This window comes from Homo sapiens, chromosome 8, assembly GCF_000001405.40.
Source record: "Homo sapiens chromosome 8, GRCh38.p14 Primary Assembly".
Lineage (NCBI taxonomy): Eukaryota > Metazoa > Chordata > Mammalia > Primates > Hominidae > Homo > Homo sapiens.
Window position 1 is genome coordinate 57,279,272 of NC_000008.11, and position 22,690 is coordinate 57,301,961.

At 37.9% G+C, this 22,690-nt stretch overlaps 1 long non-coding RNA gene and 1 pseudogene across 1 annotated transcript, besides 1 other annotated feature; both read left to right on the forward strand.

The window, feature by feature from the left end:
• The first annotated feature begins 271 nt into the window (after positions 1–271).
• On the forward strand, positions 272–5,460 carry LINC00588 (long intergenic non-protein coding RNA 588). Its single transcript, NR_026772.1, has 4 exons — positions 272–1,493; positions 2,700–2,943; positions 4,890–5,004; positions 5,167–5,460. It is a non-coding gene; the product is annotated as a long intergenic non-protein coding RNA 588 (long non-coding RNA).
• Positions 7,046–7,246: a silencer, noted in NCBI's record as "peak7033 fragment used in MPRA reporter construct". NCBI's record gives its function as "represses an SCP1 promoter by STARR-seq MPRAs in K562 erythroleukemia cells {active_cell/tissue: K562}" and the evidence as "EXISTENCE:reporter gene assay evidence [ECO:0000049][PMID:32103011]".
• Positions 10,281–10,378, forward strand: RNU6-596P (RNA, U6 small nuclear 596, pseudogene; annotated as a pseudogene).

Sequence of the window (22,690 nt, forward strand, 5' to 3'; positions counted from 1 at the left end):
GACCAGCCCAGTCGATCTCCCCCATGGGCTCAGTTGCAGCTGCCACCTGCACAAGGCACCCTGCAGCAGCGGTGGCAACCGCTGCCCTGCCCACTGCCACCACCAATGAGGATCCCAGGGTCGGCCGCATAATTCACCCGGTGGGCCCTGCAGCTTCAGGAGAGTGAGAAAGGTCCACTCAGCCCCATCCCGGTTGCTGCATATTGCCCAGCTCCCAGGACCTCACACTCTGTGCGTGGGACAAAAAAAGAGTGGAACCTGGGGTTGGAGGGATGTACACTAAGCGACCCTCAGCTGTGTGGGACCAGCCCTGCCAACTTCCATCGTGGGCTCAGCTGCAGCTGCCACCTGCACACGGTGCGGGGAAGCAGTGATGGCAACCTTTCACCGTGCCCACGCCACCAGCAGCGTGAAACCCAGGGCCAGACGTCACCAGGAGCCTAATTCAGGCGATTGGCCTGGCAGCTACAGGGCGGGAACTCGCTGCTCAGCCATCGGATTTAGGCTGCTGCACAGTCCCCAGCACTGGCGACCTCGTTCTCTGGGCGCAGGGCAAGGAAGAGAGGACCCCAGTTGGGAGGGTGGTGCACTCGGAGACCTGAAGGCCCTCTGGGACCAGCCTTGCCAGCCTCCGCCTTGGGTTCAGCTGCAGCTGTCATCTGCATATGGCGCGCGGCAGCAGAGGTGGCAACTCTCAACGCTGCCCGAGCCACCAGCAGCGCGGACCCCTGGCCAGATGCCCCAGCAGCGCCTAATTCGGGCGGCCGGCCCTTCAGCTGCAGGAGGGGGGAACCAGTGGCTCAGCCCCATGTAGGCGGCTGCACAGTGCCCAGCACTCAAGACCTCGCGCTCAAAAGAGGGCACAGGAGGAGCAGCTGCAGGGGGCAGCGTCGTTAGGCGGGCCCTGAGACAGCTGGGACCGCGCGCTCGGCTCTAGGGAGCTCGGCCAGTCCACAGGCGTCTCAGCAGCAGCTGCCACCTGCATGCGGTGCCGGCGAGTGCTCGGCTCAGGGCGGTTTCTGGCCACACGCAGTTTCTGGCCACGCGCAAGGCGGTTGCCTTTTGAGGTCCCATGGGCGCTGGGGCCCAACTGCTCTGCTCCGTATATTATTTATTCTCCGAGAGGTTGGAGACGTCCTTGTCCGAGAAGTTGGAGGGTCCCTGTCTGAGGTCTGGGCCAGACTGCCTTGCTTTCTGGTGCTGGGCCGGATGGGGGCCGGGTGGGGGCTGGGCTGGGGGAAGGGCGAGGGCGAGTTGTGGCGTCTCTGAAGCCAATAGCTGGGCCATGAAGATGATCTTGGCTGTGGAGAGCCAGAAGGGCCAGGTGCGCCTGAGCTCCTGGAGTAGTAACTGCATCTTCTCTGACCCCTGGTACCAGACTCCAGATGAGGATGTCGGGATGATACACAAAGCTGCGTCCAGGGGAACGCGTGGGAGCTGCAGCTGAGGCTCCCGCTGAAGAGAAAAGACCAGTCTGAAATCTACAAGAACAGGTGTCGGGAACTGCGGGCTGCAGGCTTGGGGGTTGAGGGAGGAGGTGGGCAGGTGGGGAGAAGCACCTCCTTCAGAATTGGGGGCTTGGGGAGTGGGGGCCAGGGGAGGCGTGGAAAGAATAGTGTGTGCGGGGTGGGCCGTCCTCGTCCCCAGGGCGCTGGCTTTCTTCCTAGGAGGACTCCGCAGAGCCTGGGATGTGGACGCCTTGGGGGTGGAGGGCCCAGGCCATCTTTATGAGCAGCAAAATAAACCCAAAACTTTAGCTGGTTCCTCCACCCACAGTTCCTCTTACAGAGCACTTCAGAGAGAACTTTAAAGTGATTTAATAAAATTAAGTATATATTGTTTTATTTTTAATGCACACATTTTAAAAGATAATGTTAGATACGTTATGGAAAGGTACATAATGAAAGAAATAATTCCCATAATATATCACCTTCTGGGCTAATAATTTTTTGGCTAAAATCCAATATTTTATATCAATGAATACCTATGTAAATATGTTCTTTGCTGAGAGACCTTAGAAGGAAACTTTGAAGTAGGAAGAAGGTTCACGTTCTTGAATAAGAAGACTCATTTTTCTCGAGGTGTGAGATCTTTATTAATTTTACATAAATCAAAGTTATCAAAGTTAACATTTTTGAATTACACATGCTGTCTTTTAATATTAAGATGGCTTAACATTTTTGTAATGGAGAAAAAAAGTCTTGCCTTTCAAAATGTGCTATTAATTTGCATAAATAGTTTGCTAACAGCTGAAAAGATAGATAAATGAATGCAAGAGAATAGAAAATCCAGGAACACCCAAATATATGTAAGAACGTATAACAGGGTAATGGTGAGACTTTATACTAATAAGAAAAGAGTTATTTTTATAAATGAAATGCCTGCTTTTTGGAAGAAACTAGCTAGATTTTTATGTCACAAAAATAAGTTTCTCATTGAATATAGATTATTTTAAATATGCAAAATGAGAAAAATACCAGAAGAAAACGCAAATGCCTATTTATACAAATACATTTTTGTGTTGACAAAGACCTTCCTAGGAACCTCTCAAGCAAGCATTCTGAAAGTTTATTTAGCAAAATTAAAATTAAATCACACTGAATATGAGAAAAAGATAAAATAAAAGACATCATACTTATATAATATTTACCACGTGTTTTTGTGTGTGTACATATTAAAAATGGCTATTCATTTTACAGAGAATTCTTCCAAATCAACATGAAAATACCTCTAAAACTGGGCAAAGTACTTTTTCCAGCTCTGCAAGTCACCTATGCACATAGGAAAAAAATACTTAATGTGTCCGATAAGAGAAGGACTTTAATTTAAAAAAGGAATAAAATGCCGTTTTCTGTCCTAAGTTTGTGAAGATGAGGAGCAGTGATATTTACACTTCTGCTTAAAGTTAAGTTGCTGATGACTTTTCAAAAAGACAATTTGGTGGTAAGTACCATGTTTAAACTATGCGTATGCCCTTTCTTGATCAATTCCATTATAGTAAAATACATTTAGGAAACAACGAGAGATACATGCAATTTGTTTTTCTCAGCAGTGCTTAAAATATGATTGTATTAAAGAGAATCCATATAACAAATTTCATAAATAAATTTCAGTGAATATATAGTATGGGATAATATGAGACCACTGAAAGTAATATCTACAAAAGTATGTTGACATATGAAAATGTATTTTGGTGTATCAGGTGAAGATAACATTCAGTTTGATTACACATACAAACTGACTATGTTCTTGCTTTATCTGAAAATATGTACCAAATGTGATAAAATTTGTTATTTGGGGACAATTGTATTATAATGAACTGTTTTTCCTTTTTAAGATTTGTGATTTCTTCACTGAGCAGGGGATTGGGGATCTGTGGTATATAGCATATAGCATAATTATTACTAATGAAATAATCCTTAGGAAGAGCAGAAATATTAATTTTGCAGCTAAAAGTAATTTCTCACTTTCTATTTTTAAATTTTTATTTCTATGGATTAGTATAGTCTGTGAACTTTCAGTGTCTTCAGAAGTGAAGATAAACTTTATCTGTGATAGTGGTTTTATATATGTACATATTTTATTAAACATATTTTTATTATGTATAGATTTATTACATATATGCCAATAATTACATATTAATCATTTTAGTTTAGTGTTATTATTATGAAAATAAAAATAGTGAATATAAGTAACTATTACCATTGCAAAAATATCACTTTATTTGTAGCTGTTTTAAAAATATTAAACTTCCCAACTGTATTTATTCATTTTTAAAATCTATTTATTCATCAAATACAAGCTGAATACCTGTTATGTAAAAGGCACATTATACTAACTATCAAGACCCTTCCATTCTTAAAAATTTCATGTGTACCTGCCCACCCTGAGCAAGCTGAGAGATTTAAAATTAGAGAATTAGGACTGAATCTCAACTGAAGCTTGTCCTCTCATCTTTCAAAAAAAATAAAATCATTTCTGATGTGGGAAAGTAATGCAAGATAACATCAGTGGCCACTTTGAAAATGTATACGTCTTAAACAGTGATATTAATTATCATAAATACTTACCCTACATGCATTTTATACATGTAAATACTAATTTACATACATGCATACATTTAGATTCTGTAAATCTAAATATTTAATTAAATGAGCCATATTTATTTATTTGAATCCTGTCTTCTATTAGGCTTAAAGTTTTTAAAAATTAAGGAATTGTTTTGTTTTAAAAATTTGCTTTTATTTCAACGCTCCTTTTCCGTAGTACATTTAAGTGCTTAAAATTGATTTAAATGTTAATCATACGACTAGGACTTCCATTGTCCTATTGTATATACCGTATTCCACTTGATGTAGCCACCATGGATTGTGTGATGCTGCCTTATTTTATGTATCAATAAAATAATGTTTAAAATGCTGAAAAATATAGTTGTAATAAATAATGAATTATAAGTAGCATTTCAATGTCAGAGATGTTGAAATATGAGAAAATGAGAATCTTAGAATCATTGAAATACAGTCTTATCTCGAACCTTTAAATCATAACACAAAGGAAGTATAATGGTACCATTTTACCTAATTAAAATGTTGTCTTTATTAAGTAGTAGTAATAATTATAATATCTAGCAAGCGAAAGATCTTAAAATAGTATTCAAGTGCAAGATCAACTAAACCGAGAGGCCAAGCTCTTTCTGTCCAAATAGGTCACTCTTTCATTGATGCAGTGAATAATAAGAGCTAATAAATATTGTCCCTTTTCAGGAGGAAATTAATATTTGTTTTGAAAGCAGAGGAATAGCATGCTATTTATTGTTTGCAATTACGTGAATCATTGTATGTTTTGAGATAGTGGACTAAACTTCTCTCAATATCTTCTCAATTTTGTAGGATGGTTCCACATTTGGCCTGTGCCAATGGCTGCCCAGAAGTGGTAACTTTTCTGGTGCACAGAAAATGCCAGCTTAACATCTGTGACAGTGAAAACAAGACACCTCTAACGAAGGTATATAGTAGCCAGTTCTTTCAGCATGAGATGGATTTGGCTTAAATACATAGAATAAAAATGAATTTGTCTCATTGAAATATAACTAGTTTGTGAAACCTGTGGAATACTTATTTTAATTTCCTACAATTTACAATTTATTTCTTGTTCTAATACTGACAGGCTATAATGTGCCAAGAAGATGTGAAACTATTCTGCTAGACCTTGGTGCTGATCCAAATATTACCGATGTCTATGGCAACACTGCTCTCCATATGCTGTCTATAATGAGAATATGTCAATGGTAGCAAGACTGTTTTCACACAAGACAAACATCGAAGTGAAAAACAATGTAGAGCAACCAATGTTATTTTCAAAATATTTGAAATCCACTTGTTTTAACATTGACATATGTAAGGGTCAGTTTTTGCTATTTGGAAGCTTAAGCAATCCCTGAATAAAAATAATTTGAAATAATGGTCTAAGATTTTACCTTAAATACTAATATCTTTAAAAAAGTATTAGAGAGTATGGCTTTCTTTTATGCATTTATGGTAGATATTTGAATTTGTTATAGGTAAAACTTTTGTTTTCAATTTTTTTTTGACTGAAGTATTTTTTTTTCTTTCTAAGTAGTGTACAACAACACAGGAAAGCAAAGTTGGCCTGCATAAATTAAGCCAACGTGTAAAATTTAGGAGACCTGCAAAAATCTGTATTTCAGGCTCCTCTTAAATAGTGAAATCTGGTTTCCCTTGAGCCCATATTACTGTTTGGTGTGCTATGAAGAGGCTGTAGCTTCACGCAAAGTCTGTGGTCTCCAGTTTGCCATTGTGCCCACCTAGGGACTTACTCAGGTCATACCCTTTGCCTCTGTAAATATTTTAGTTAACAACTCCTGTCATATAGTATATTTTGGTAAAGATTTCAAGGTTTTCAAGACAGTTGATAGTTATTTATAATATATAGCCTATATTTTGTATTAATTCCTTAATAATGGGTTTGACTTTTAGAATTTAGAAGTTGTTTTTTAAATAATGATTTTTCTTTATATATACCATAAATAATAATCACATTGGAATGCCTATAGGCCTTTTTAGGTTAATTATGGTTATATTTGGATAGGTTATGCATATTGCAGAACACATTTTATCTTTCTCCTCAGCATTGTCTCTGAAAATGGAAGTGATTTAGTGGCTTTTATTATGCTAAAATAACCCATATAGTTCAGCTAGAAATTGTATTGATAAGCCATTGCATTTGTATTTCTGATATTTTGCCAAAAATAAAAAATAATTTTAAGTAGCAATGAAAATGGAAACCAGAATAAAAATGGATTAATGCATTTTAAGAAGTAGATTTGCATTAGGGTCCTAGGATTATAAATATCATTAAAATTGAGAATAAAATTTCATACTGAACTTTGTAACAGCTAAAATTCTGTGACTCTGTAATAGGAGAAACCCAATGGACCATTTAATAATAAGCAATCAAAATTCATTTGAAGCCTATCTCTTTTAATTTAGAGACCATTTCCTTAGTGATCTACTTGGAGCAGGAGCACCTGACTTTGGCAGCTGGGATCCTGGGCCCATTGATAGAAAATAATCAAGTGAGTTTGTATCACTTGGAGGAAACCTCTACCTTTATTGGAAAGCTTTAAAAACTGTAATCCTGAAACTTTAATTCCTCAAATGTTAATATTGCCACAAAACCTATTGTCAAATAAGGATTAGGCAAAGTTCAAGACATTTCTTGAATACTGGACATATAATTCACAGTTTTATAATATTTCTCAAACATAGATGATCATAGGATCTTCCTATTCAGGTACAGTCTTTAAATTCTGGCAAAGTAAATATTCTTTGGAATACAGTTTAAGAAGTACTACTCTAGAGGTAATAATTTAGATCATTGATTTAATAAAAATACTTAAAGTATTTACTACTATGTCATAGGGTTTGAGGATAAACAGATAAAAGATACAGCAGCTGCCCTCAAGAATCTGTTGGTTTAGATAGAAATCAATAAAATTATTACAATATACCATGTGAAATGCTGTGCTAGAAACAAAGATTATTGAAACCAGTGACTGTTTCAAATCATTTTTGGAGCTGACCAGAGTTAATGTGAGTCAGAGGCCGGATGTTTTCAAGTGGAGGAGGAGTGCATGGGAAAGCACAGAGGAGTGAGAAGGAAGGGACAGATTTTATTTGCTTTCTATTTTATGTGTTTAAGTTCATAAGACCTTATATAAGGTATTCAGTTCAGCTGACAAATATGTAATTTTATGAATTATAAATTGTTTTTGCCATTTTACAGGATGGCCTCATACCACTTTTACTTGCCATAACTAAAAGAAGACAGCAAATGGTATAATTTTTACTAACAAAAAATGCAAATGTAAATGCAGTTGATAAAGGTTTAGTCATTTTTTTAAAGTGAGTGTTGTTCTAGAGTCGTAACATTCAAGTTGGAAATATTAAGTTAATCAGCAGATTAGCTTATATTTATTGGATTATAGTGGAAAATATCAAAACAAATCACCAGTTAGGTAGAAAAGCAATTACTTGGACTGGGCAACATAAAGAACATATGTATATGATAGGATTTATATTCTCTTATTATATTGGCTGATGTTATTTACAATCTGATGTTTTTGTCACATTATCTTCTATTAGTAAAGGGTTTTGTATTAGTTTTATAAAATATGAAATTTAACTTTCAGTTTGCTTATTGATTCAATATTGAATTATTATTTTATAGTATTTCTCTACCTTCTGCTTTTTATATACTTTTTCTATAAAATGTAATATGAATCATAAATAGGAATTGAAAATTATTTTGTGTTTTGGATGACTGTTTGCTTTAAGGTGATTTATTTGAAAAATATTAATGTCAGGTTATCCCTAAGTGACTATTAATTGTTACCACCACTGTGAATTCATCATTTTATTTCTTTTTAACTTATGGTGTATTTTAATTTTTTAATTTGTAATCGGTATGTGTAGAAGGAAGAAAGATATGTTTAATTAAATTAACTTTTTATTTAATGAAGATAAGCTGTAGGTGAGTGATAGAAAAGAGGCCTTAGATTCACAAAAGACAGGTTTTAATTTCTAGCTTCTTCATTTGTTAGGGGTGACCTTGCATACATTACTTAGTACCAAGTATGCTTTCCTATATGAAAATGAGGATAATAATATTTCTTTCAGGGGTGATTGTGTGGAAATTAGATTATGTGTATACAGCATTTAATTCAGTTCTTCACACATGCTTATCAGTATCATTAACTGAACAACTACTACTATCATTATTCTTTACATTATTATTTTCAGCCTGCAGATTGCTCTTATTTATCTTACTCCTAACTGATTTTGAATTACAATATATCAGACTAGAGAAGAAATGGATAATTCTTCACTTAAATCTTTGCCTCCTGTAGATGAGTGACCTGAGCACAGTCTTTTGCCCATCAAAGGACTTTATGTTAACCACTTCTACTATGCCATACCCCAGTGGGACATGAATTTTTTTTTTGTCCCTTCCTTTAAGCCTTTGTGGTTATTTACAAAGATGAACACTTGAGCACCCAGGATGCTTATGTTTGTTAGTTCACGTAAATGTTTAATTCTACACTGACAGGCACATATTAAGTTTGTAAAGTTTCTAAGAATGAAGTTCTCTCTCTGTTTAGCACAGCCCTCATGCTTGCAGTATGTCATGGATCATCAGGGATAGCATTCTTCTTCAGAAAAATATTGACATATTTACTCAAGTATTTGTGGAATGACTGCAGAAGATTACGCTGTTGTTAATATTTTTAATCTATGTTTGTACATGTAAAGTCTAGGTGAGATTTCATAGCTTGGCTCAAGTAGTTTTTGAAGGGCAGTGAGTTAATTCACTTCATCAGCCAGAAATCAGGCAAAAAGCTAAACTAGTTAGAAGGAGCAGCGGGTCCAGGATTCTTTATTTTAGGGCTTTTAACACATTTATCCCTACAGATACCAATGTTGTCTATTTGATCCCAAGTATAATCCCAATGCATGGGATAAACATAGTGTCACATTTTCAATTTTTGTAATTAGTAATTTGGGTCTTAAAACGTCCACTTTAGCAAAAAATTTAGTACTGCCTCTGGGCGCTATCCTCTATACCCTCCTCCTTGAATTTTTAAAGGAACTTAAGGGGTTCCCTAAGTCCAAGGAAGACAGTCTTCTTTTACAGTCAGGATGAGGGGGGAGAAAAGACCCTTCTAATCATTGTGTTGTTCCCTCTGATTCTGTTGCTGCATCGTTGCCACTGAAACTGCTTCTTCAGTCTGTTAACAATTGACCTTTGCTACCAGGATGACCTCACTTATCTGGATCCCTCAGTCTTCCTGGTGATTCACATATAGACTTCAAAGTTATTACTTTTTGTTTTAGTTCACATAGATATTCTCAGCCATTATTTCCAAAGTGCCTGTACGCCTGCTCTGACAGTTGGGCCTCCTAGCTTTAGCCACACTCATAGTGACCCTTCTTCTCACACTCAAAACCTGATATGAAACCCACGTCTTAGCTTGGACTTGTCCTAGACCTTCAAGGTAAATTATCCTCTGAATCCCTTGGAATAGTTTGAAACTGTGAGGTCTAAATAATGTTACAGGAAGAAATCAGAGATTCCTTTCTTCTTTGCTACCAGATCTATGCTCTTGGCCCCTTTAGATTCTGTGTGGCACCATTTTGTAGGTAGTGGAGGGTCCCATATTATTCTGGAAGGACCAATATTCTGCTTCCCCAGAGTAGTGGTTCTTCCCTCAAGTGATCTGTTTTCCGTAAAAGTAAAAATCTCCCAAACTACTTGTGTTTGTATCTTGAGTTTTTAAAATATTTTAAAATTCTACCTCACAATGAAGCCATTCGAAAGAATTCATGAAATCTCAAGTAAGTTAGATTAAACAGAGCTAAGCCTCATCCATGACTCATCAGTATCCATGTAGGAAAGTAGAAGTTTGTGGCTGGGCACAGTGGCTCACGCCTGTAATCCCAGGAATTTGGGAGGCCGAGGTGGGTGGATCATGAGGTCAGGAGTTCGAGACCAGCTTGGCCAACATGGCAAAACACTGTCTCTACTAAAAATACAAAAATTAGCCAAGCATGGTGGTGGGCACCTGTAATCCCAGCTACTCCCGAGGCTGAGGCAGGAGATTCACTTGAACCCGGGAAGTGGAGGTTGCAGTGAGCTGAGATCGTGCCATTGTACTCCAGCCTGAGCAATAAAAGCATGACTCCTTCTAAAAAAAAAAATAGATGGCAGCACATCCACTAAAATTGAAACAATATAGAGAAGATCAGCATGATCCCTGCACATGGGTGACACACAAATTTGTGAGGTGTTCTATATTTCTTGCAGTCCCCAAAAGGACCTTGGACTACTATCTTACTAGCTCCAAGGAAATGGTGTGAGTCAATGAAAAATGGTGACACCCAATATTGAAACTGTGATTTTCACACAAAAATATTTATGTAAGATGATCTATGGAATGAGATTGTGCCGGGAAACACATGGGATGTTGTGTGCAATATATTGCTAGTAGGCATCTAGGAAATGAGAAAATAACAGCTTCCATCCCCATCATGGAACTTAAAAAAAATAAAGGTAAGGTTTTTTCTTCCACAGCAGTTGGAGATGAACATGGGGAGTAAGCATTATTTCAACAAAGATTTATTGGTTCAGAGTTTGGGAAGTTTGGTAAAGAATATTAGGAGTCCAAGCCAGGTCTTGACATTCAACAGTTTTCTGCCCTGGGTGTGATTGATGAACTCAGCAACAGGAGATAATCATGTTGTCTGATTTGATGAATTAACATATTTATAAATAATTTTTATTACAAATTATGAAATAGATGCCCTGAATTACAAGCCATAAAAAAAGAACATCTAATAATCAAGAGTAGGACTTAATAACATTTTCTGAAAACTGCAACATTTGAATAGTAGAACCTATGAAGAAATACACTTTTTTTAAAATTTATTTTTAATTTGTAGAGATAGGGTCTCTCTATGTTGCCCAGGCTGGTCTTGAACTCCTGGGCTCAAGCAGTCCTCCTGTCTCAGCCTCCCAAAGTGCTGGCATCACAGGCATGAGCCTCTGCATCTGACAAACACATTGGGTTTTATTTGGGATTTTAAAATAGTTTCAGCAGTAAGGTTCAAGAATAAATTATTCCATCGCTTCACTACTTCTCTGAGCATTTTTTCAAATGCTGTCTTGTGAAGTCTTTATAATAACCTAGTTAAATAAGGCACTACAAGTCTCACTTTTAGAGGAAGACATTGAGCCTAAGAGAAGCAACTTAATCAAGAACGAATTGGTTGCAGAGCTGAGATTTATTCTGAGTTGAGGACATTTTCCGTTACGTCAGCCTAACTCTAGTTCATTTACTGAGCTATATTGCCTTCAATTCATGAGTATTTCACCTTACTTTCTTCTTTAACTAAAAGTTTAAGAAGTTCACAGAGCTCACAAATTTGAAGCCTATGAAATGAGTAAAGTTCTCAGATTAGCTCTAATATTGTCTGGAATACTCTAATAATTTAACATATTCAGTAAATTTTTTCATATCAGTGTTAAAATAGTACTTTTATTGATTGCATATTTCTTTTTTTCTCAGCCTTTTCACTGAATTTTTTTTAATTATACTTTAAGTTTTAGGGTACATGTGCACAACATGCACGTTTGTTACATATGTATACATGTGCCATGTTGGTGTGCTGCACCCATTAACTCGTCATTTAACATTAGATATGTCTCTTAATGCTATCCCTCCCCCCTCCCCCGACCCCACAACAGGCCCCGGTGTGTGATGTTCCCCTTCCTGTGTCCATGTGTTCTCATTGTTCAGTTCCCACCTATGAGTGACAACATGCGGTGTTTGGTTTTTTGTCCTTGTGATAGTTTGCTGAGAATGATGATTTCCAGCTTCATCCATGTCCCTACAAAGGACATGAACTCATCCTTTTTTATGGCTGCATAGTATTCCATGGTGTATATGTGCCACATTTTCTTAATCCAGTCTATCATTGTTGGACATTTGGGTTGGTTCCAAGTCTTTGCTATTGTGAATAGTGCCACAATAAACATACGTGTGCATGTGTCTTTATAGCAGCATGATTTATAATCCTTTGGGTTTATACCCAGTAATGGGATGGCTGGGTCAAATGGTATTTCTAGTTCTAGATCCCTGAGGAATCGCCACACTGACTTCCACGATGGTTGAACTAGTTTGCAGTCCCACCAACAGTGTAAAAGCGTTCCTATTTCTCCACATCCTCTCCAGCACCTGCTGTTTCCTAACTTTTTAATGATCGCCATTCTAACTGGTGTGAGATGGTATCACATTGTGGTTTTCATTTACATTTCTCTGATGGCCAGTGACGATGAGCATTTTTTCATGTGTCTTTTGGCTGCATAAATGTCTACTTTTGAGAAGTGTCTGTTCATATCCTTCGCCCACTTGTTGATGGGGTTGTTTGTTTTTTTCTTGTAAATTTGTTGGAGTTCACTATAGATTCTGGATATTAGCCCTTTGTCAGATGAGTAGGTTGCAAAAATTTTCTCCCATTCTGCAGGCTGCCTGTTCACTCTGATGGTAGTTTCTTTTGCTGCGCAGAAGCTCTTTAGTTTAATTAGATCCCATTTGTCAATTTTGGCTTTTGTTGCCATTGCTTTTGGTGTTTTAGACATGAAGTCCTTGTCCATGCCTATGTCCTGAATGGTATTGCCTAGGTTTTCTTCTAGGGTTTTTATGGTTTCAGGTCTAACATTTGAGCCTTTAATCCATCTTGAATTAATTTTTGTATAAGGTGTAAGGAAGGGATCCAGTTTCAGCTTTCTACATATGGCTAGCCAGTTTTCTCAGCACCATTTATTAAATAGGGAATCCTTTCCCCATTGCTTGTTTTTGTCAGGTTTGTCAAAGATCAGGTAGTTGTCGACATGTGGCATTATTTCTGAGGGCTCTGTTCTGTTCCATTGGTCTATATCTCTGTTTTGGTACCAGTACCTTGCTGTTTTGGTTACTGTAGCCTTGTAGTATAGTTTGAAGTCAGGTAGTGTGATGCCTCCAGCTTTGTTCTTTTGGCTTAGGATTGACTTGGCAATGCGAGCTCTTTTTTGGTTCCATATGAGCTTGAAAGTAGTTTTTTCCAATTCTGTGAAGAAAGTCATTGGTAGCTTGATAGAGATGGCATTGAATCTATAAATTACCTTGGGCAGTATGGCCATTTTCACGATATTGATTCTTCCTACCCATGAGCATGGAATGTTCTTCCATTTGTTTGTATCCTCTTTTATTTTCTTGAGCAGTAGTTTGTAGTTCTCCTTGAAGAGGTCCCTCACATCCCTTGTAAATTGGAATCCTAGGTATTTTACTCTCTTTGAAGCAATTGTGAATGGGAGTTCACTCATGATTTGGCTCTCTGTCTGTCTGTTATTGGTGTATAAGAAAGCTCGTGATTTTTGCACATTGATTTCGTATTCTGAGACTTTGCTGAAGTTGCCTATCAGCTTAAGGAGATTTTGGGCTGAGACGATGGGGTTTTCTAGATATACTATCATGTCATCTTCAAACAGGGACAATTTGACTTCCTCTTTTCTTAATTGAATGCCCTTTATTTCCTTCTCCTGCCTGATTTCCCTGGCCAGAACTTCCAACACTATGTTGAATAGGAGTGGTGAGAGAGGACATCCCTGTCTTCTGCCAGTTTTCAAAGGGAATGCTTCCAATTTTTGCCCATTAGGTATGATATTGGCTGTGGGTTTGTCATAGATAGCTCTTATTATTTTGAGATGCATTCCATCAATACCTAATTTATTGAGAGTTTTTAGCATGAAGGGTGGTTGAATTTTGTCAAAGGCCTCTTCTGCATCTATTGAGATAATCACGTGGTTTTTGTCTTTGGTTCTGTTTATATGCTGGATTGCCTTTATTGATTTTCGTATGTTGAACCAGCCTTGCATCCCAGGGATGAAGCCCACTTGATCATGGTGGATAAGCTTTTTGATGTGCTGGATTCGGTTTGCCAGTATTTTATCGAGGATTTTTGCATCAATGTTCATCAAGGATATTGGTCTAAAATTCTCTTTTTTTGTTGTGTCTCTGCCAGGCTTTGGTATCAGGATGATGCTAGCCTCATAAAATGAGTTAGGGAGGATTCCTTCTTTTTCTATTGATTGGAATAGTTTCAGAAGGAATGGTACCAGCTCCTCCTTGTACCTCTGGTAGAATTTGGCTGTGAATCCATCTGGTCCTGGGCTTTTTTGGTTGGTAAGCTATTATTGCCTCAATTTCAGAGCCTGTTATTGGTCTATTCAGGGATTCAGCTTCTTCCTGGTTTAGTGTTGGGAGGGTGTATGTGTCAAGGAATTTATCCATTTCTTCTAGGTTTTCTAGTTTATTTGCATAGAGGTGTTTATAGTATTCTCTGATGGTAGTTTGTATTTCTGTGGGATCGGTGGTGATATCCCCTTTATCATTTTTTATTGCATCTATTTGATTCTTCTCTCTTTTCTTCTTTATTAGTCTTGCTAGTGGTCTATCAATTTTGTTGATCTTTTCAAAAACCAGGTCCTGGATTCATTGATTTTTTGAAGGGTTTTTTATGTCTCTATTTCCTTCAGTTCTGCTCTGATCTTAGTTATTTCTTGCCTTCTGCTAGCTTTTGAATGTGTTTGCTCTTGCTTCTCTAGTTCTTTTAATTGTGATGTTAGGGGGTCAATTTTAGATCTTTCCTGCTTTCTCTTGTGGGCATTTAGTGCTATAAATTTCCCTCTACACACTGCTTTAAATGTTTCCCAGAGATTCTGGTATGTTGTGTCTTTGTTCTCATTGGTTTCAAAGAACATCTTTGTTTCTGCCTTCATTTCGTTGTGTACCCAGTAGTCATTCAGGAGCAGATTGTTCAGTTTCCACGTAGTTGAATGGTTTTAAGTGAGTTTCTTAATCCTGAGTTCTAGTTTGATTTCACTGTGGTCTGAGAGACAGTTTTACATAGTATTCACCAACAACTTTTGGAATATAAAATATGTCTAAACATCCTCAAAATTTCAACCCAGGTAAGACTTCTGACAGTAAACTACTCTTTGTGACACTACCATAATATTATGGAAGTTTTGATCACAAAAGAGCAATTAAAAATGTATAAATAGCATGTGGGTGTGTAAATTTAAATATATATAGACATATAAAAATTTCTTTGATTTAATTTTTTGCTTACAATTCACAATTAGTTAACAATGTTGTTTTAGATAGTTTATAATCTCAAGCAGTATTGTCTGAAAAAAATATTTAATTATGGTACCTAAAATTCTATATAGTTTTTTTGTATAAATAAAAAATTTTAAGTTCTCATGTTGTATGTTTCCTCTATAGTCATAAAAAATTAGGCTTGTTGTACAATATATCTTCTATTTAATTTTTATAATAAATGGTTTACGTTTAGCAAATGAGAATTACAAGTGTTTAACAAATGAGAATTACAAATGTTCAAGTAACCTCTTGAACAACATGGGGATTAGGGTGCTGATCCCCAGTGTAGCTGAAAATCTGCATTTAACTTTTGACTCTCCCAAAATGTAACTCCTAATAGCCTAGTATTGACCTAAAGCTTCACTGAAAACATAAACAGTTATGTATTGTATACTGTATTCTTGCAATAAAGTCATATGTATTGTACACTGTATTCTTGCAATAAAGCAATCTGAAGAAAAGAAACTTATGAAGAAAATTATAAGGTGGAAAAAATATATTTACTGTTCACTAAGTGGAAGTGCATTATCATACGTAAAGGTCTTCATTCTCATTGTGTTCACATTGCGTAGGCTGAGAAGGATGAGGAAGACGAGAAATTTGTCTTTCTTTCTTAGTGTGGCAGTGGGAGTGAAGAAAATCTATATATTATAAGGGGGGTCCTGCAATTCCAACCCTTGTTCAAGGATCAACTGTATGACATCATGATTTGTGTCACTAAAAAAGGAAATTTCTTTAGAGCTTGGAACTTAATAATAATTTTCTGGTACCATAATCATATGTCAGTAAGAATTGTTAAACTTATTCAGGGTGTATAAGTACCAATAAGAAATTAGTTTTTAAAGATACCTGCTTAGTGCAGAAGTCAGAAGAGCAATATTTTGTTGAGAAGCACAGGTTGTGTTACATACTCTTGTACCAAGAAGGTCTCATTATTATTGGCTTCATTACCCCTCAGTTGAAACCAACTAAGATAATATTTACTTCATTAAAACAAGATGTGTTGTTTTATCTGGTGGGTAATTGTCATAATAGTAATTTTGTTACAACAAGATATGTTCTGTTACTACTAGCCAAAATATTATTATAATGAATATTAAAATAGCCCAACTCTAGGCTCAATAAATTACAATAAAAGTACAAAATATTTTACAACAAGAAAAATGGTATTATACTGCCTGGATGTAATACAATGTACAATATACAATGTACATTGTACAATATGAACTGTATGACCATACCTCTATTATATATTTATCAAAGAAACTTCTGTAAGTAAGGTTTTGCATGTCGCAGGGATAAAGAATACACATAGTCCGAATCTTTAATGTGCTCATAATGCAATAGAGCTTTCCCTATTTAATTTTCATGTTTTTTCAATAGAATTGTCAAAGGAAATGCCTTTATTCATCTATCCACTTCTCTGCGTAGACATAACTGTAAAGTATCTTTAAGGTACTAAGCATTTTTATCTTGTTACTATCATTGTCATTTTTTATTATTTACTACCATATTCAGTGCTTACTCTGTCAGTTGCTTGCTGGGAGTTTACAATTATTATTTATTGTGTATTTGTCATATTTAATGTGGGACAGACACTTTATGTCCAAGGCAAAGAATTAAAGATTTAAAAAGATTGGTAGGATTTAAGGAAAGCATGCAGTGTAAGTAGAAGTTTTCCAGGTAAGGAGGCAGAAGAACGAAATTTGGCAAAAGGAAAATCTAACCAGATTTTGTGTTAGGCAGAAGGAACATCTGACGAGATTGCATGTTTGGCAAAAGGAACAGCAAGTACGAAAGGTCAGACTCTTGAGTGAGTTTTGTAGGGTTTATGTTAAATTCAGTGTTGCTAGTGGAAATAGTGTGGTATAGGAGTTGTTGGAAATGAAGTGAATATCTAGATATGGCAAGCTTAGGAAAGACTTTTGAATAGTATAGAACGGAGTAGATCTTATTCAGTAGGCCATTGAAAAGTTCCCAGAATACATCTGGCTGTAAATACTAGATGACCTAACTAACAATGGCTAAAACCATAGGCACCAAAGTTGTTCTGTTGGTTCAGGGATATCATAGTGTCACATGTATGTTTCCTTTTTTAGCTGTGCTATTGGCAGTATTTTGTTAATGTCTCTTTTCATGGTTGGCTAAGTAGCCAATGAGTAGCCAGTCGTTATGTTCTCTCAAGACAATATCTGAAGGCTGGAAGGGTTGCTTTGTTTCATGATTTTTTTGTTTGTTTTTATTTTTAAAACAGGGAGCCAACTCAGAAGTTTGCAGTGATCTTCCTGTAACACTTTAGTGGCCGGATGACACCACATGCTCATTCCTAAACCAGTCAGTAGGAAAACAAACGTAATTCCTATGATTAGCTTAGAACAATCATTTTTCTTTTTTTTTTTTGGAACTGAGGTGGGATAATGGAATGATAAGTATCCAAATAAACTTGTGTTTCTCCAGTGAGAAAGAAGGAAGAATGGCCATAGATAGGGAGCCAGTGAGGTTTTCTGCAGGGATTCATGGGAAGATTTTGGGCAGGGGAGTCACAAGAGGAGGTGTGAGTATTAGGGCATTCTGGTTACGGTATAAAGCAGGGATTGGCAAGCTTTTCCTGTAAAGGGCCACATAGCACACATTTCTAGGCCTTGTGGTCTCTGTTGTATGTTTTCAACCCTTTCACGCTGTTGCAGTGTGAAAGGAGTCAGAAATAATATGGAAGCAAATAGACATGATTGTGCTCCAGTAAAGCTTCCTTTCCTGAAGCATTTGATAGACATAACAACATTTAAAGTTGTATTTCTTTCCTAAGGTTCCTTTCACAAAGCTTTCTCATGACTCACACAGACTATCTACAAGATGCTTGAACTTTCTTAAATTTCCTATGATCCTCAATAGGGCATCCCCCATTCATCCTTAGTATTCTGGAGCAAATCGTTCTTACTGTGTGTCCCTAACCTTGGTCCCATCTCATCACAATTACCCCCTTGAGAACATAAAACATATGAAGTGAACAGAGGACTCCCTGTTTATTCCTGGGGTTCCAGAATGAACCAGTTTTACTGTGTACCACTAACCTTGCCTTCATCTTCTAGCCTGGGACCAATGCCCTCAATCTTGGCCTGGCCTCTATCCATGTCTCCGTGACCTTAGAGTGACCCTCACTCAGAGCATTCTAGCAGGAAAATGATGATCTCTTTACTCAAATTCCCATTTCTCATCTTCTTTAACCAGATGAGAAGCCTGTTTTTCAGCTAACTGCTGCAAGGGGGCTTGACTTTACTCCACTTGAATTTGACCTTGAAGACCTCGATGCATATCGAGAAGGGCATAGAAGTGATTAGAGAAATGGAGGCTACAGGAGCAAGTGGGAGGAAGCAAGTGAGGAATACTCATGGAAAGCCTCCCTGTGCTCCCCAAAACAGCCACCCTTGAATTTGAGAGGGCTATATGTATTTGCCCTCTTGACGTAAGGTAGTAACCTCCAGAGGATTTGGGCCTTAGGGTAAAAACTCCGAAAGGGTAGAGGAAGAATTTCCCTCCTCCCATAGGGGTACTATTTCCAAAAAAAGCAAGTAGGTAGGGTTCTTAAAAGGCCACAGAATGAGGCTGTATGCAGGTGAACAAATGGCTTCAAAAGCCACTGAAGAACTGGGCCGTGAGCATAACAGCAAGGAAAAGCATGTGGTAAGTCATAAGAAACTGGCAGAGCCCCGGGGTTCCAGTTAACGTCTTTCCCAGCAATGTGCCAGCAGATAGGGAAAGGCTTGAACATCATCTGAGCTGGGGAAAACAAATATAAATCTCAGGGAATATTCACAAGGGAATATCTCATGAGCAGAGCTCATGTCTCTGCTTTCGAGCCAACACAGCAAGAGTCACGGGCATGCGAGTGACCAGGAGCATGTGTATTTCAGGCAGAGAAGTCACATGGTATGCAAAGTGAAACCAGAGAAAAGGCAGACTGGCCTCCGTGGGAAAAGGTATGGTGGGTGACAAGGCCATTGCAGAATACACACAGAGAAAGGAGGGAATAGGTGGTGTGGACTTTTTGGAAAGAGCTGATTTTAGTTGTAAAAGCTGAGAGGAAGCCCCAGACATTGCACAGTCTTAGGCTTTAGCTTCACAGCTTTCATGAGCATCCTGTCCAGGAGGGCCATTAGTGCCTTGGTTCTACGTGGTACAGACTCCGAGTTCCTTCCCACTCCTGTAAGCCACTTATCAGCGTGAGCTGAGATTGGCCGGGAGGAGCAGAGCCACTTGTGGCCAGTGGAATTGTTCTAGGGGTGGTTTAGAAAGCAGGAGATTGAAAGGAGAGACAAAACCCAAGTATATGAGCTGAATTCCTTTGTCCGAAGAAGATGAGGTGTAGAAGTGTCTCACCATAGGGGACTGTACTTGAGTCAAAACAACACAGCATTGTTAGTAGCAGTGAATCTGTAAAGTTCTGTAGCAACTTCAATTCTTGCCTCCTCAGAAGAAAGAATTCAACGGCGGGGTGTAAGGCAGAGTGAGAGACTGAGGCGAAGTTAAGAGCAGGAGTAAAATTTCTTAAAATTTTCGGAGCAGGAATGAAAGGAAGTAAAATACACTTGGAAGAGGGCAACACAGGCAACTTGAGAGATCAATTGCATGGTTTGACCTTTGATGGGGTCTTATACATTGCCAGGCTCCTAGGTTTGTGTTATTTTTCCCCTGATTCTTCCACTGGGACAGGCTGTCCCTATGCACAGTGGATTGTCAGCACTTGGGAGGGGCCACATGTACAGCGTGTTTACTGGATTGTATGCCTGCTCACTTGAAACATTCTTGTACTGGTAGAATGTTCCCAGAGAAAAGTCAGAGAGCAGTTAAACTCTGGCAGTTCTCCTTTTAGGGCACATGTGTGAACCCACTCAACTAACTCCTAAGATCTTATGGGGAAGCTGCTGGTCAACAGCTTCCAGTGTTTCTGTGTATTGGGAGACTGCATTTCCTTGGCATTGAGTGTGACCAATTGTTATTTTGGAGAGGCAGCTTAAAAACTGCCTGACCATCATCTCTTAGTTGCTTGACACTCCTGGTGGTGGGACACCCTTTCTTGCCCTGCTCATGCCTGACTAGCTACCTACCGTAACAAGAACATCTGACAAGATTGAAGGCTTGGCAGAAGAACATCTGACATAATTGAACTTTTGGCAGAAGAAACATCTAAGATGTCATATTTGGCAGAAGAGACATCTAAGAGGATTTCATGGTCAGCAGGAACCCCAAGGGAGATGGCATGGTAGGCAGAGGGAGTATCTGAAAATTGCACTGTCTGCATAAGGATGACCTAGGATGAGTGCATGGCCTGCAAAAGAAACATCTGAAAAGATTAAATATTTGGCAGGGGAAACATCTGACAAGGTTCAATGTTTGGTAGTAAAAAGGTTAGCGGTGGCAGATTTGCATGTGTCAGCAGCAAACTGAAGTCTTGCCTCCCCAGAAGAAAGAATTCAACTGAGAGACATATGGCAGAGTGAGAGACAAAGGCAAGTTTTAGAGCAGGAGTGAAAGTTTCTTAAAAAGCATTAGAGCAAAACAAAAGAAAATAAAGTACACATGGAAGAAGGCAAAGTGGGTGGCTTGAGAGATCAAGTCCATGGTTGACCTTTGACTTGGGGTTTTATACATTGGTAGCCTTCTCAGGCTGCATTATTTCTCCCCTGATTCTTCCCTTGCGGTGTGCTGTCCATACATGCAGTGGCCTGCCAGCACTTGGGAGAATGCATTTGCAGTGTGTTTTTTGGAGTTGTATGCCTGCTCACTTAAGGTGTTGTTTTTTTACTTGATCTTAGCCAAAAGGCTGAGAAGCGATAGGGTGTTGTTTTTTCAAAATGTAAGGTGTTCTCAGAGACAGGTCACAAATCAATTAAAATCACCGTTTTGCCTCTTACTGCACACATCTAAGCCCACCAGCTCGAATCCTGAGATATTATTATGAAGCTGCTGATCACCAATTTTAGGTGTTTCTATTTATTGGAAAACTGCCTTTCCCTGGGCTGGCTGCAACTAATTATTATTTTAAAAAAGTAGTTTAATAACCACCTCATCTTCACTTCATGGTTTTCTTATATTGCTGGTGAAGGTGGGAGGGGGGCTTTTCTGTCCTGCTCATATCTGACTAGGTACCCAATGTCATGGGAACATCGGACAAGATTGACTGTTTGGCAGAAGAAACATCTGGTAAGTTTGCATGTTAAGCAGAATAAACGTCTGAGATGATTTCACATTTGACAGAAGGAAGAGCAAGTGCAAAGTGTTGTATGCTTGATTCAACTTTGTAGTGTTTATGAGCAGTTACACTTTGCTAGTGGAAATAATGTGGCATGGGAGTGGTGCGGAATGAATATCTACATAAGGCAAACTTCAGAAAGCCTTTTAAGAGTATATAAATGAGTAGACCTTATTCTGTGGGCCAGGGAAAAATTCTCTGAATACTTCTGGCTGTGAATACTAGTTGACCCAACTATAATAACAGTGGCTAAAACCATGGGAACCAAAGTTATTTTGGTGGTTCAAGGATATCATAGCATAGCACTTACTTTTCCTCTTTCAGCTGTGCTATTGGCAGTGTTTTGTCCATGGTTGGCTAATTAGCAATGACTCCAGTCATCATGTTCTCTCAAGACAATATGTGAAGGCTGGAAAGTCTGCTTTTCTTCATGTTTCTTTTAAATAGGGAGTAAAGTCAGAAGCTTGCGGTGATCTTCCTGTAACAATTTAGTGCACAATATGCTAATTCCTAAACCAGTCAATATGAAAGCAAATGTAGTCACTTTAATTAGCTAAGAATAATCTAATAAAATGTTAAGCAGGGGAGTCACAAGATTAGGTTTGAGTATTAAGGCATTCTTGGCATTGTATAAAGTAGGGATTGGCAAGCTTTACCCATATAGGGCTCAATAGGAAACATTTTAGACCTTTTGGTCTCTGTCATATCTATTCAATTCTGCCATTGCAGTGTGAAAAAAATCATAAAGTGTAGTAAGCAAATAAGCATAACTGTACTCCAGTAAAACTTCATATACAAGGCTATATTGAAGGCTGCATTTGACCTTTGGCCTGTAGTTTTCTGACTCTTCATATGGAGGGTAGCCATGTAAAGAGGTTGAGAAACAAAGGAAGTTTTGCAGTAGTTCATGCTATAGTTTGTTTGTTTTGTGTCACCAGTTTGTGCATTAGTATCAATCTATTATAAAATTTTGACCCATCCAGGGTAAAATAAATAAGTTAGAAGCTAAGATTATACATTTAAACATGTGGGATTTTTTCTTGGCATTATTCTATTTTCATTTTTTTGCTGAATTTTTTTAACTTAAGAAATATGAATAATAATTGGTACAATGTGATAGATTAACTTATTTCTATACATGTTGAGGTCAAAGAAATATT